Raw genomic sequence first — 13,058 nt, forward strand, 5'->3', positions numbered from 1 at the left:
GACAAAGGCCAGGCTGGCCTCCATCCCCACTCACTCCCCAGTGAGCCATTGAACTCCGCCCAGACCATGGGTACCAGCTGCTCTCTGACTGGCTTCACATCTCCCGAGGGAGGCGGATGGAGGGAGGCCGGCCTTCGCCTTTAAGAGCACTCTCCTGCCACCCCTCCCTTTCCCCAGAGGCGAGCTTCATCAGGCAGGAGCCAGAGGCCAGAGAGACAGCGTGCAGCTCCAGGTACAGCCTCCCCCAGCTCCCTGGCCCTGAGGGTGGGTGCCTTCCTTCTCCCACACTGGTTATGCCCTGCTGCTGAGTCCTCCCCAGCCTGGCAGGATGGACAAACACCCCTAGGAAAGGGCATAAGGCTGGAGTTAGGGATGAATGACATGGGGCTTTGCAGAGAGGGATAGGGAATGGTATGGGGAAGGGATGCTGGCCATGGACTGCTGGCCTCCTGGGCTGGGCTGCATGATATAGGGTGAAGGAAGTGATTAAGCAGGGAAAAGGACACAGGTCTTTTCCTGACTTCTTCCACTTGATAGTTTTGTGACTTTGGGCAAGTGACAAAACAACCCCGTAATATGGGTGATCCTACCTTGTACCTTGCATGTGCCAGGCCCCAGGAGTGAGGCTAGAAGCTGAGAAATGACTCACACCCAGGCCTCTACTGACTCCTCAGGGTCCAAGCCAGACCCCTCCAAGAGGGCCAGCAAGCAGCCAACCCAGTTGCCTCCCCTGAGCCTCAGTTTCTCCAACCAAGGAGCCAGGGTGGGCCTTGATCTATCTCCAGACCACATAGGGGCCTGAGGTCTTTCTTGGGGAAGGGGTTGGCCCAAAGACCGCACTGGCAGAAGTCCCAAGGTGCTGAGGCCCCCATCCAGAACACACTGTCTCTGGGGTACAGGCTGAACATGCCACACGTGCTTCCCCCTCCCTGCCCCTCCTGGCCCTGTGTCTAGCAGCTGAGCAAATGGCGTCTCCTCCCTTCTCCCTGCCCCCTGCCATTCCTGCGCAAAGGGCACGGGGCCTGGCGTGTGGCACTGGCAGCTGGAGCTTTCCATGCTGCCGTCAAGTTTTCCAGAGCACAAAGACAGGAGAGCCAGGAATAACTGGCTGGGCCCCCAGAGGGTCTGGAGGGGATGGGCCTGCCTCAGACCTGCTTTCAGACCCTATGCCAAGGGGTGCAGGCAGAGGGCCAGCTGCCCAGGACCAGGGCTTTGGGAGGCTTCTGTGGCTACTGGGAGCCCATTATCTGGCATGCATTCTGTAGGAATCAGCCCAGGCTCCAGTGTGACCTGGGTCCACTCCTTGTGTGACCTTGGAGAAGTCATTTAACCTCCCTGAGCTTTGTCTCCTGCGGGCCCAGGTGGCAGCTTCTCAGGATCCCAGGGAGTGAAGGGCCCATACTGAGGTTGGCTATGCCCAGAGCTGCTGTTATGATGATCGTTTTTATGGCTGGACAACCCTGGGCCAGTCACAGACCAGCTGGAGGCTCAGCTCAAGCCAAGGCACCTCCAGGGCCCCATACTGGATAAAGCACAACCCCAGAATCCTGGCCAGGGACCACACGGCAGCAAAGCCCCTACCCAAGGGAGCTCAGCCCCTGGTCTTCTGAGCAAGAGGATGGGTACCACTGGGCAGGAAGAGCGAGTGTCTACGCTCTCCAGAGGACACAGGAGCAAGGAGACCAGAGCATTCTCACCAACCAGGCCAGTTCCCCTTCCTCCCCCCTGGGGGGTGCTGGGTGCCGGACACCCCTCCCCAGGGGCTATATTAGCCGTGTGAGTCATGGTGGACCGGCTGGGAGGCGGCAGGCTGGCAGGCACAGTGTAGGGTTACAGTCCATTTATGGGCGCAGCCGAAGGCAGATATCAGTGTCGATGGCATTCGCTCCCAGCTATTCTTAGGAGCCTCTCAAGAGCTCCACGCAGCCCGGCTGGGCAGCAAGGGACAGAACAGGCAAGGCTGGGGGTCAGGGGCAGGGGCAGAGGTGTGGACCGGGCAGGCGGAGTGCCTGAGTGCCCTCTCACTCAACCCTCTCTACCCTTTGTCTGCAGAGGCGGCCGCTGACAGCACCAGCATGTCTTACAGTGTGACCCTGACTGGGCCCGGGCCCTGGGGCTTCCGTCTGCAGGGGGGCAAGGACTTCAACATGCCCCTCACTATCTCCCGGGTGAGTGCACCCTGCCACAGCCTGGCACCCGATGGGGCAGGCACGCTTGGAGGAGGGCATGTGTGTCCGTCTGTCTGTCTGTCCTTTCTGAGCCTCTCAGAAAGCAGAGCATGCCCCATCCCCTGGGACTGGCCTGGTCCTCTGGTCTCAGCCACAGCTGTTTGCTCACTGGAGCGCGCCGGCCTGTTATGCATGTGAGACATCATGAGCAGGTGGTAGGTGTTTTTAGCAGAGAAGAAAATGCTGAGTTTTCAGGCAGGCAGGCAGGCAGGCAGGCAGGTAGCTGGACAGAGAGTACAGCACCTTCCTGATCCCTTTACTGTTAGAGTGGGCTCAGGGTGCCCCCAAGCCTTGAGCATTTCCCTAGATATGGGCAGCTGCTTTGGGAAGGGAGTATTCCCAGCATGGAGAGGGCAGGTGATGGGCAGTTGGATAGATGGACAGACAGACGGTTGACCTTGGCTGCCCAGCTGTCAGAGTGTGGGGCTGGGCTGGACTGAGTACTGGGCACCTGCTCCATCCCAAACTTGAGACACCAAGACCCTGGCTCATGGGGCTGGGCGCTTCTCCCCATTCACCATGGCTGCTTTGTCTGTCTCAGGTCTTGTTCCCCACAAGTGCTGGGGCCTGGTGAGATGGCCCCCTATCCTGCAGTGTCTGTGATGGGGAGCAGCATGGCCTGATGCAGATGACACAGAACATCAGGGGTTGTCTGAGTAACTCTACCGCCTGGCTGGAGACAGCAACACCAGAGAGGCAGAAAGTTAGCCATGCTCCTGAGGAAGCACTCCAGGAGCAGGGACTGATGGGGGAACAGCCCCCAGACCGTAGTAGGCACTCCGTCAGTTTCTGTCAAACAAAGAGACTCCCCAGCAAGGCACTGGTAGACCCAGGGCTGAAGGCCCCAAGGCTCAGGGCGAACTGTGAGGCATACAGGGCAAGGACAACCCTGCCTGGTGGCTGAGCCCCTGACCGTGCTGTTCCGGGCACAAGGCCAGAGGGGGAGGCCCCCAGTCTGTCACTGGAGGGTGGTAGGTAGGCAGGGGTATCTGGGCTACTGCCCACCAGGGGAACAAGGGGACAGTTTCTTCTCTGGGGCCTTAAGGACTTGCCTTGGGCCTGGGGGCTGGAGGAAGGGGTTGGAGGGGAAGCACTGAAGTGGGCAAGGCCTGAAGGGGCTTGGCAGAGGGGCCAGGGAACCTGGGCAGCGGGTCAGGAGCCAATGCCCCCAGTGGAGGAGTAATCTTTTTTTTGTTCCACGGGTACTTGAGGGGACCCCAGAAGTAGAAGCCCCACCCAGGGATGCCGTGAGAGCCTTATAATAGCCATAGAGGCCACATGCTTACAGGAGGGGTGCTGGCCTGGCTCTGGTGCAGGGAACAGGCCCTGACCTCCATCCTTCAGTTGCAGATGTGGCTTGTTCTAACCTGGAGATTCCACCCCTCCAGATCTACTGCCCTGGAGACCACAGGGTCCTGGGCACCCACAGCCTTGCACACTTTGCATGAGGTGGTGACCTGTGAGCATGTGAGCCCCAGTGGATTTCCCACTGCCCTTTCCCACAGCTCCCCACCCCCATGCTTGCAGGACTCCTTCCTGTATAAGGTGGAGCCTCTGTGTGCTCTCTCATGGGCCCTGTGGCCTCCCCTGCCTGGGACTGAGCCCACATCTCCCCCAGCTCCACCATCTCGAGGCCTCCTGCTGGTGCTCCCTGCCCTATCCCTATGGGTGCAAATTGGCCACTGGGCTCAGTGGCACTCAGGATAGCCAATGACCTCACCCAGGGTCTATGTGCCACCTGGCCCCGGCCAGCCAGGGGCTTAAATGGCAGCCCAGAAGCCTTAAGCTAGATAGCAGGAGGAATGTCCTTACTCTGGGGAGGGGGTATGCAGGGATGTGCTGGATCCAATGACTGTGGGGACTTCTAAAAATAGAACCCGAAGCTCGGGCAGGGCACCGGGGGATGGGCATGATATGGCCTCTCGGCTTCCTTTAGGGGCATACCCCAAATCACCTAAGCCGCGGAGCAGGCTGGACTGGGTACTGGAGCCTTCCCCAGGGCTCGGAGCCTCTTGAGAAATTTTGGTGGTAGGCTGCTGATAGCCTGGGCTTGTGTCCTGGTTCAGTGCCGCTGGCAGGGCAGGCCTTGTGGACACAGCCCTGCCATCCCACCAGGGCTGTAGGATTTACTGCCGGGGCTCGCAGGGCCCTTCTGCACCAGGGACATCCCCCTACGGGGGAGGCATGGCCAGAGCTCTCTGGAGGAACCCCACTCCCACCCCAGCCAGGACCTGAGCCTGTGCCATAGGGCACCAGAGGCAAGAGTGTGTGACCCTGTGGGGTGGGCAGGCAGGCGAGGCTGGGATCGTTACCTCGCTTCAGAGCCTGGCAAACTGAGGCTCGAGTCTGCTCACAGGACAGGGATGTCCATGGGTGGATCTCCTGTATCCTGTCACCCCTAACTCCCATGCTGGCTTGCTCACCCCTCTAACTGGGACTAATAGAGAGGCACTGGGGAGGGTCTGTCCCCTCTCAGCTGCAGGTGTGTGCTGCAGCTCCTCCTGGAAGGACACAGGCCACCTGCAGGCTGGGTGGTGGCTCCCGGGGGCTCATGGCAGCAACTTTGGGGCAGCAGCAGCCCCTCAAGGCATCCCTTCATAGGGTCTCTGCTTGCAGACCCACAGAGAAGGGAGTTCAAGAGGGAGACTGGGAAAGGAGGGTGGCGGGGAAATGCCTTTATTTATCCTGGACAGGTGTGGCTGGGCCTGCAACATGAGCTGCCCTTTCACCCCACCCCAGCCAGTTCTCCAGGAAGTGGAGAAGGGGGAGCAGCCCAGAGAGGGAGCAGCTCCAAAGGCCTCTGCCCTGGCAGCTGGCCAGAGGCTGGGGCTGTGGTCTGGGGTCTCACCTCTTCATGCCTCTCATGCCTCCGCCTTGGGGAAGAGGAGTATGCTTTGTTAGGCTCTGCTGCTCTCAGCTGTGTCACCTCAGAAGTCTGTTTACCTGCTCGGCCTCAGTTTTTCTCACCCTTAAAATGGGGATAGCAGGCTGGGCGCGGTGCCTCATGCCTGTAATCCCAGCACTTTGGGAGGCCGAGGGGGCAGACCACTTGAGGTCAGGAGTTTGAGACCAGCCTGGCCAACATGGTGAAACCCTGTCTCCACTAAAAATACAAAAATTAGCCAGGTGTGGTGGTACATGCTTGTGATCCCAGCTACTCAAGAGGCTGAGGCAGGAGAACAGCTTGAACCCAGGAGGCAGAGGTTGCAGTGAGCTGAGATCGCACCACTGCACTCCATTCTGGGGGCAGAGTGAGACTCCATCTTAAAAATAAATAAATAAATAAACAAATAAAATGATGCCTTCCACACCTGTGAGAGCTCTTTCTAACAGGCACTTGTGAAAACTTTCCACCTGTTGTCTACTGGGACTGGTTGTGAGACTGGTGGAGTCGGGGGCTGAGCCTGGGCCCAGGAGGGGCCTGCCTGTCTACTGGAAACCCTCTCTTCCTAGGGTCTCAGCCACCCCGCCTGCAGGCTCACCTGGAGCACCAGCTCAGAGGCCTCTTCTCTGTGGGTTTCGGTTCCAGTATTTATCAGACTCTCCCAGCTGTGGTGGGAACATGCTGAGGACAGAGGGTCTCTGGGGAGAGGAAGGGGGACAGGCTGAGACTATTCTGGGGTAGCTGTGCCGGCAATTCCTGGAATTTCGGGGCCGCTGGAGCACGCAGTGCTGTTTCTTGGGCAGCTCTTAGCAGTGCTGACAGGCCGTGCTGTTTATAGCCGCACTGAAGGTCAGGCAAGCCTCCGAGGGCTTCAGTGGGGCTGGCAGGGGCCTCCCTGCAACATCTATCAACAGGGGAAGATAAACGGCCAGAGGCTCAGAGGCTCACAGCTGGGGAATGCATTCTTAGAGGTCCCCCAGGCCAGGTCCTCCGGGCTGCTCAGAACTGCATCTAACTCTGTGAGGGATCCAAAAGGAGAGGACATGAGGCTGGCTGGGTCCTGGGGAATGAATTGGACCCTTGGAGGCCCCTGGGCCAGGACACCGTGCAAGGGCAGCTGCATAAGCAGCCCCAGGGCTCCGGGCCTACAGATATTGTGGGGTAGCCAGTGTCAGGACTGCAGGGCTGTTTGAGAAAGGCTGGGCCAGGCTCTGCTGGGGGCTAGCTCCCCAATTCCCTGAGTCTCCTTCCCTTTCTGCATGGTCCCCTCTCATCCAGAGGCTGCCCCTGACTGCAAAGACCCTCCTCTACACTGAGCCCTCCCACCCCCAAACACAGCTTTGGCACCCCTTTGGGACCAGGCTCCACCTCTGCCCAGGAACCATCCTTGGACACAAGAATGGGCCTTGCTGGGGGCCCTTGAGAGCCAGTGCCCATGAGGGCATTTTATTGGCCACACCCAAGACCCAAATGGAACTGTGGACCTGGACAGGAGGAAGAGAGGCAGGAGAGACTCAAGAGACACTTGAGGAAAGCCAGGGGAGGTGTGGTCAGCTACAGAGGGGGCAGTGACCCGTGGCTTTGGACACAGAAGGTCATTGATATGCGTGGAATAATGGGGCCAAAGGCAGACGGCTGTGTGTGAGCAGGTGGGAGGCAGCGGCAGTGGGGGCAGGATGTGTGGGTCACTTCTTGGAGGAGTCTGGAGGTGCAGAAAGGAGACATGACAGGAGCCAGTTGGAGCCACCCAGGCAGGCAGGGAGAGGCTTTTTGAGCATTGAGGGGACTCCGGCTTATTTATCGGCCAGGGTGGAGTTGGGGAGTGGGACCATGGGGAGACAGAAGGTTCCAGTGAGAGGGTGAGCATGAGCAAAGCCCCAGGGGAGGCCAGATGGGAAGGCAGCAGAGCAGGACAAGACAGTAATTTAATCATACAATGAAAATGCACTTTGTCCCACCTGCCCCAACCCAGGCAGGCAGCCTGGGAGTGTGGGGAGGGGGAGCTGCTGAAACTTGTACCCTTCCTACTTATCTGCCACCTGCCCCAGCCTCCACCCACCACATCTACACTGGCACATCTAGAAGAGGAGGAAGGCAGGGGCCTGCCTGGTTTGAACACCGGGAGTGAATGATGGCCAGAAACGTCTGCAGAGCCCAGCTGCTCTCTCTGCTGCCAGGGAACTGGGAAAATAGGAGCCAATGGCATGGGTGCGTCTGAAGCCTCACTGGTGCCTTCTTTCCCCTGGGCCTTGGACAGAAGTTTCCTCCCCTCCCCCCAACACCCAGGCCCCTCTAGGGACAGCAGGCTGGCTCAGAACTGGTCAGTCAGGGCTGGCTCCTCAAGCTCCACCCTCTGCCAGCTGTGGATCTTGTTTCCTGTGGAGCCCGGGGATGTAGCCAGCCAGCCTCACACCTTCTGGGGGTAGCAGATGGGGTCAGCACTGTGCCTCCTGGATTTGGAGTTTTCCTGAAACTCTCTCAGCTCTGCACCCTCCTTACATAATCCCCTGTTTAACGACATAATCCTCACAACAATCCCGAGAAAGGCATTGTCATTCTCTTGACACTGGAGGGCTTGGAGGCTGGCACCGAAGTCAGGGGCCCGGCCCATACTGGCACCTGTGCTCCTCCTTTGCTGCCTCCCCGCCCCCAGCCCCCAGCACTCACAAGTGGCTCTGGCACCAGCTCTCCCTGGGCTGCCCTTGGAAGTGCCCTAAGACCTTGGCCCAGCAAGGCGGAAGGGCTCCTGGGGGCAGGGAGCTGATCTTGGCCTCCAAACACCTGCAGCCTTTCTTGGGGGCTTTGGAGACAGGAGCTCGGTGCCCCACCCTGAGGCCATTCTAGGCTGCACCCAGGGTTGGGTTTCCAGGGTTTAGAGGGGCCCATTGGCGGGAGAAGACTGAAATGTGAAGTGGGAATGAAACACTCATTCAAGGGAGGCATTTAAATGCTCAAAGGCGGCTAGAAAGATTAAAAAGAAAAAACCACAGCTCCAAGGAGTTGGGTGCTTTGGGCCCTTTCTGAAACACAGAAAGGAAAGAGGAGGATGGAGTCAGACAAGACAGACGTGGAAGCATCGTGCCTGGACTGCACTCTCCATGAGCCCTGGACTCTGGGCAAGGGTCTGAGGGTGCCCCCCTCCAACCCACCCAGGCAGGCTGCTCCTGAGGTGGGGTGAAGGCATCCGATGGCTCCTGATCATCCATAGGGTCCCTGCCTCCATCCTGCCTGAAGCACCTCCCTAGAGGAGGATATCAGCACCCCCAGCCCCCACCCTGAGGGATGTTGGACCCTACTCAGGGCAGCCAAAGGCCAGGCCAGCTGAGCCCTGACAAGCAGACACAGCTGCAGGGGAGAGGCACTGGGCAGGGGATCCAGCTCAGCCACTTCCCTCTGGTCAGAGGCTTGGCTACTGACCAGACCCCAGGAGGCTGAGCTCTCCCTTGGGAGCAAGCATCCCCCCGGCCCATACCTGAGGATGAGGGAGAGCCAGGCAGGTCTAGGTGAGGGGAAGTGAGGAGACCTGGTGGGGAGGGCTGGTGCCCGCTGACCCATGCCTGTGGGAGAAAGATGTCTCTGAGGCAGCTCCAGAGGGAGGACAGTCAGATAGCCCTGCAGAGGGCCCCTCTGATCTGGCCCCAGCCTCTCTTGGATATCATTCTGTTGCCCTTGCTCATGCTGTCATCATGATCTTCTGGACACAACTCCCATCTTTCCTGTCAGCATCTCCTCTGTGACCGAGGCCACAGCCTTTCTGCGTGGGGTCTGCAATGACCCAGCCCTGCAGGGGGACGACCCCTTCTCTGTAGATGGGCATTTGGGGGTGCCCTGCCGTGAGAGAGCCTTGCTGTGGGGGTGTCCTGCTGTGGGGGAGCCCCATGGGCAGTTCACTAGGACAGAACAGACATTGCAAAATTCGCCCTGGAAAGAAGTATGCTGGTACCTGCAACTTTCTTTGAAATGCCCGGCAAATGAGATGGATTGATGGATGTGGAGGGATGGAGTGTGATAAAGCAAAGCGAGTGAAATGTTATGGTACAGCCATGGTGGCGGGTGTTCAGGTATACACTTTAGAATGTTTTCTACTTTTCCTGCCTAGAAATCTGCAAAAATGTCTATAATAAAATGTTGGGGATCACATAGAGGAGTAGGGAAAGTTGATTTTCTGCAGGACAGGCCTGGCTGGGCAGCTCAACTTGCCCCCAGGAGTCCCCTCTCAGTCTAGAAAACTCTTTTGCTTTCCTTCACTGATGTTGGTTTTTACACTTTGTTCACCTCTACACTCAAGGCAGCAATACACTCCTGTCATTAATAGAGGCTATGGCAATGAGTCTGGGGGTAAGGGCTATGTGTATTTTAAGAAATCTCAAGTAGCTCTAAGATGCCCCTGCGGGGCCTGGAGGGCAAGCTGGACTTTGCAAAGCAGATGCTGTGGCTTCCTGGCAGTCCAGACGTCTGTTTCTATATTGTCCTTTCCTGTCTCTGCAGATTCCAGGGCAGGGGAAGGGGCGCTGTGGGCACAAGGTGGCCAGTATTTTAAGAGGGCACCACAGGCTGGGTGTGGTGGCTCATGTCTGTAATCCCAGCACTTTGGGAGGCTGAGGCAGGCCAATCACTTGAGGTCAGGAGTTGAAGACCAGCCTGGCCAACATGGTAAAACCCCCTTTCTACTAAAAATACAAAAATTAGCCGGGCATGGTGGCATGCGCTTGTGGTCTCAGCTACTGTGGGGAGACTGAGGCAGAAGAATCGCTTGAACCCAGGAGGCGGAGGTTGCAGTGAGCCGAGATGATGCCATTGCACTCCAGCCTGGGCATCAGAGCAAGACCCTGTCTCAAAAAAAAAAAAAAAGAGAAAGAAAAAAAAAAAAGAGGGCACCACAGCCCCTAGGGCTGAAATGGCAGGTTCACAGCAATTGGAGAGGGCTGTCCTGGTCTTGCCGTCATCACCCACGTGGTGTAGGGCAGTGTTTCCGTGACCCGTAATGTGGTCGTGCAGAAACAACTCAGTTCCTGGGCTGCATCTGCAGAGCCCATCTGGGAATGGGCTGGACACTGGTGACTGGTGACTGCAGGGCATCCTGGTTTGGAAGGGGCTTCCCTGTGAGGGGACTGGCAGGAGCTTCCACCCATGTCTGTAAGCCCAGAGCCTGGCCAGAGGCCCACCCAGGCTTGGCACCTGGGGCAAGGGACTGTCCCCAGAGCCTCTCTGGGCTCCTTCTAGGATGGTTCTCGGGCCTTGGCCTGAATCTAGCTTCTGCCAACACTAGGAGCTGGCTTGGTCCTTGGGTTATAGCCAGGAAGGTGACTGGGATGTGCCCAGAGAAGCCCAGAGGACTGGCTGGTGGGCATGTTTGGGAGGCAAAGCCAAGGAACACTTCCAGCCACAGCTTGTAGGGGGTGGGGTCCGGAGCCTCCTCTTTCCTGTGATGTCCCTGAAGGCCAGGCCTGCATGGCACTCCTCATGATGTCATGGGGGTTGGGGACCTCCAACATGGTATGGTGGGAGTCAGGTCATAAAGCCATTCTATGTGATATTAGCAGGGGCCAGCCCATTCCATGTGATGTCACAGAGGGTACAGCCAGAGTCTCTGGCATTCCATGAGGTATCTTTAGGGGTGGGGCTGCTAATGTCACTAGGGGCCAGCCATCAAGCCTTTTTAGGTGACATTATTAGAACCTCTGAAATTTTGCATCTCATGTGATATTACTGTGGGCAGGGCCACCAAAGCATTCAGTGTGCTATTACTGGAGGCCGGGGGTGCAGAATTTGGCATCGTGCATGATGTCCCCAAGAGTGCAGTCTGAGCCACGATGACATCCCAAGTAATGTCCCAGGAGGTGTGGCCTTCCTGAGATTCCATGGGGAATTCCCGGGATGGAGTTGCAGTGGCATTCTGTGTGGTTACACTGAAGATGGGGCCTCCAGACTGTAACATTCTGTGGTATTATCGGGGCTCAGGGTTTGGGAACTGGCCCCCGCACCTGCACCCTGCCTTCTGGAGGTATGACATCAACTACAGAACCCTAAGCCCTGCCCCATTTCCCAGCTGAGTTTGCTCATCCAGGCAGGGTTGTCGGCTACCTCACTCTCTCCACATCTGCCAGGTAGCACAAAGCACCTGGCACTAAGATGCTTTTGAGTGGGTGCATTTATCCTGCCCTTCAGCCTGGCAGTGTCTCTGGGATGCTGCTGTGTCTTAGCTGCTGCATCTCCCTTTTCTCCTGGAGTCTGAAAAGTGCTCCATAGCTTTGCAGGGTGCAGGGGTTATAAGAGGCTAATCAAGGTTACAAATAGCCTGCAGTTTTTTGTTTGTTTGTTTGTTTTTAGACAGAGTCTCGCTCTCACCCAGGCTGGAGTGCAGTGGCATAATCTTAGCTCACTACAACCTCCACCTCCTGGGTTCAATCAAGAGTTCAAGCGATTCTCCTGCTTCAGCCTCCCGAGTAGCTGAGACTACAGGCACATGCCACCATGTCCAGCTAATTTTTTTTGTAATTTTGGTACAGACGGGGTTTCACCATGTTGGCCAGGCTGACCTCAGGTGATCTGCCTGCCTCAGCCTCCCAAAGTGCTGGGATTACAGGCATGAGCCACCACACCTGGCCACCCTTTTTTTTTTTTTTTTTAAGACCGAGTCTCCCTCTGTCACCCAGGCTGGAGTGCAGTGGTGCAATCTCAGCTCACGGCAACCTCTGCCTCCTGGGTTCAAGCAATTCTCCTGCCTCAGCCTCCCAAGTAGCTGGGACTACAGGCGCCCACCACCAGGCATGGCTAATTTTTGTATTTTTAGTAGAGACAGGGTTTCACCATATTGGCCAGGCTGATCTCGAACTCCTGACCTTGTGATCCACCCACCTTGGCCTCCCAAAGTGCTGGGATTACAGGCGTGAGCCACCACGCCCAGCAGATGCCTGCAAATTTTTAAGAGACAGAGTCTCCCTCTGTCACCCACGCTGGAGTTCAGTGGTGAGCGATCATAGTTTATTGTAACCTCAAACTCCTAGGCTGGAGTGACCCTCTCACCTGCCTCCTGAGTAGCTAGAACTACAGCCATGCACCACCACACCCTGCCAAATATTTTTATTTTTGTAGAAACAGGGTCTGGGCTCCTTTGCCTGGGCTGGCCTCAAACTCCTGGCCTCAAGCAATTCTCCTACCTCAGCCTCCCAAAGTGCTGGGATTATAGGCATGAGCCACCATGTCCAACAGCCTCCAAACCTTAATGGCTCAGAACAACAAAAGTTTCTCATTCATGCAACGTCCAATACAGTGCTCCTTAATCATCTCTCCTCCTCTCCATGCCCTGCATTCAGTCAGTCAACAAGCAGAGAGTGTGCAGGATCACAAGGATGGTTGCTAGAGGCAGACCTGGAAGGAGCATACATTGCTTCCACCCTCATTCAGTTGGCCAGAGCTAGTCCCAAGGCTGCAGTCAGACACAAAGCTCTAAGCAATGTGGTAGTCATGTGCCGGAAAGAGGAACTAGGCTTGGTTAGCAGCTGGTACTGGCCGTAGCGAATGAAAAACACAATGACGGCTTCTGTTGAATACTCCCGGGTGACTCTTCCCCAAGGACTGGCCTTTCCTCAGGACCACCTTCCTTATGCTCACCCCCCACCTCCACTATCCAATCAGATCACACCAGGCAGCAAGGCAGCCCAGTCCCAGCTCAGCCAGGGTGACCTCGTGGTGGCCATTGACGGCGTCAACACAGACACCATGACCCACCTGGAAGCCCAGAACAAGATCAAGTCTGCCAGCTACAACTTGAGCCTCACCCTGCAGAAGTAGGTGGGAGCTCTCCAGAGCAGGGGGCGGAGGTTTGGGTGTGGGCATGGGGCAGGGGCCAAAAGAGGGATTGTCCCATAGCAATTGAGTGGGCCCCGCCCTGGGCTACAAAACTGTGCAGGAAGATAAGGACAGCCCTGGGCCAGAGGAATGAA

At 57.2% G+C, this 13,058-nt stretch overlaps 1 protein-coding gene across 12 annotated transcripts in view, besides 3 other annotated features; it reads left to right on the forward strand.

Annotated features, from left to right (window-relative positions):
* LDB3 (LIM domain binding 3) overlaps positions 172–13,058 on the forward strand; it is a 69,285-nt gene continuing 56,398 nt past the window's right edge. For 8 of the 12 annotated variants that reach the window (NM_001171610.2, NM_007078.3, NM_001368065.1 and 5 more), the window contains exons 1-3: positions 1,895–1,954; positions 2,053–2,168; positions 12,751–12,902. In NM_001171610.2, coding sequence (NP_001165081.1) covers positions 2,076–2,168; positions 12,751–12,902 — 245 coding nt within the window. In that variant the 5' untranslated portion in view covers positions 1,895–1,954; positions 2,053–2,075. Of the gene's footprint in view, positions 233–1,894; positions 2,169–12,750; positions 12,903–13,058 lie in introns of those variants that run through there. The other 4 variants (NM_001368064.1, NM_001368063.1, NM_001368068.1 and 1 more) reach the window with 2 other exon arrangements.
* Positions 2,026–2,075: an enhancer, noted in NCBI's record as "active region_3695". NCBI's record gives its function as "activates an Ori minimal core promoter by ATAC-STARR-seq in GM12878 lymphoblastoid cells {active_cell/tissue: GM12878}" and the evidence as "EXISTENCE:reporter gene assay evidence [ECO:0000049][PMID:35858748]".
* Positions 6,776–6,964: a silencer, noted in NCBI's record as "fragment chr10:88433149-88433337 (GRCh37/hg19 assembly coordinates)". NCBI's record gives its function as "represses an EF-1alpha promoter that drives an FKBP-Casp9 reporter gene in an ReSE screen in phorbol 12-myristate 13-acetate-treated (for megakaryocytic differentiation) K562 erythroleukemia cells {active_cell/tissue: K562(+PMA)}" and the evidence as "EXISTENCE:reporter gene assay evidence [ECO:0000049][PMID:32094911]".
* Positions 8,162–8,331: an enhancer, noted in NCBI's record as "experimental_17910 CRE fragment used in MPRA reporter constructs". NCBI's record gives its function as "activates a minimal promoter by MPRAs in K562 erythroleukemia cells, with activity observed for both the introgressed and non-introgressed 10:88434620 variant alleles {active_cell/tissue: K562}" and the evidence as "EXISTENCE:reporter gene assay evidence [ECO:0000049][PMID:34662402]".

The sequence above is a fragment of the Homo sapiens genome, chromosome 10 (assembly GCF_000001405.40).
Source record: "Homo sapiens chromosome 10, GRCh38.p14 Primary Assembly".
NCBI lineage: Eukaryota > Metazoa > Chordata > Mammalia > Primates > Hominidae > Homo > Homo sapiens.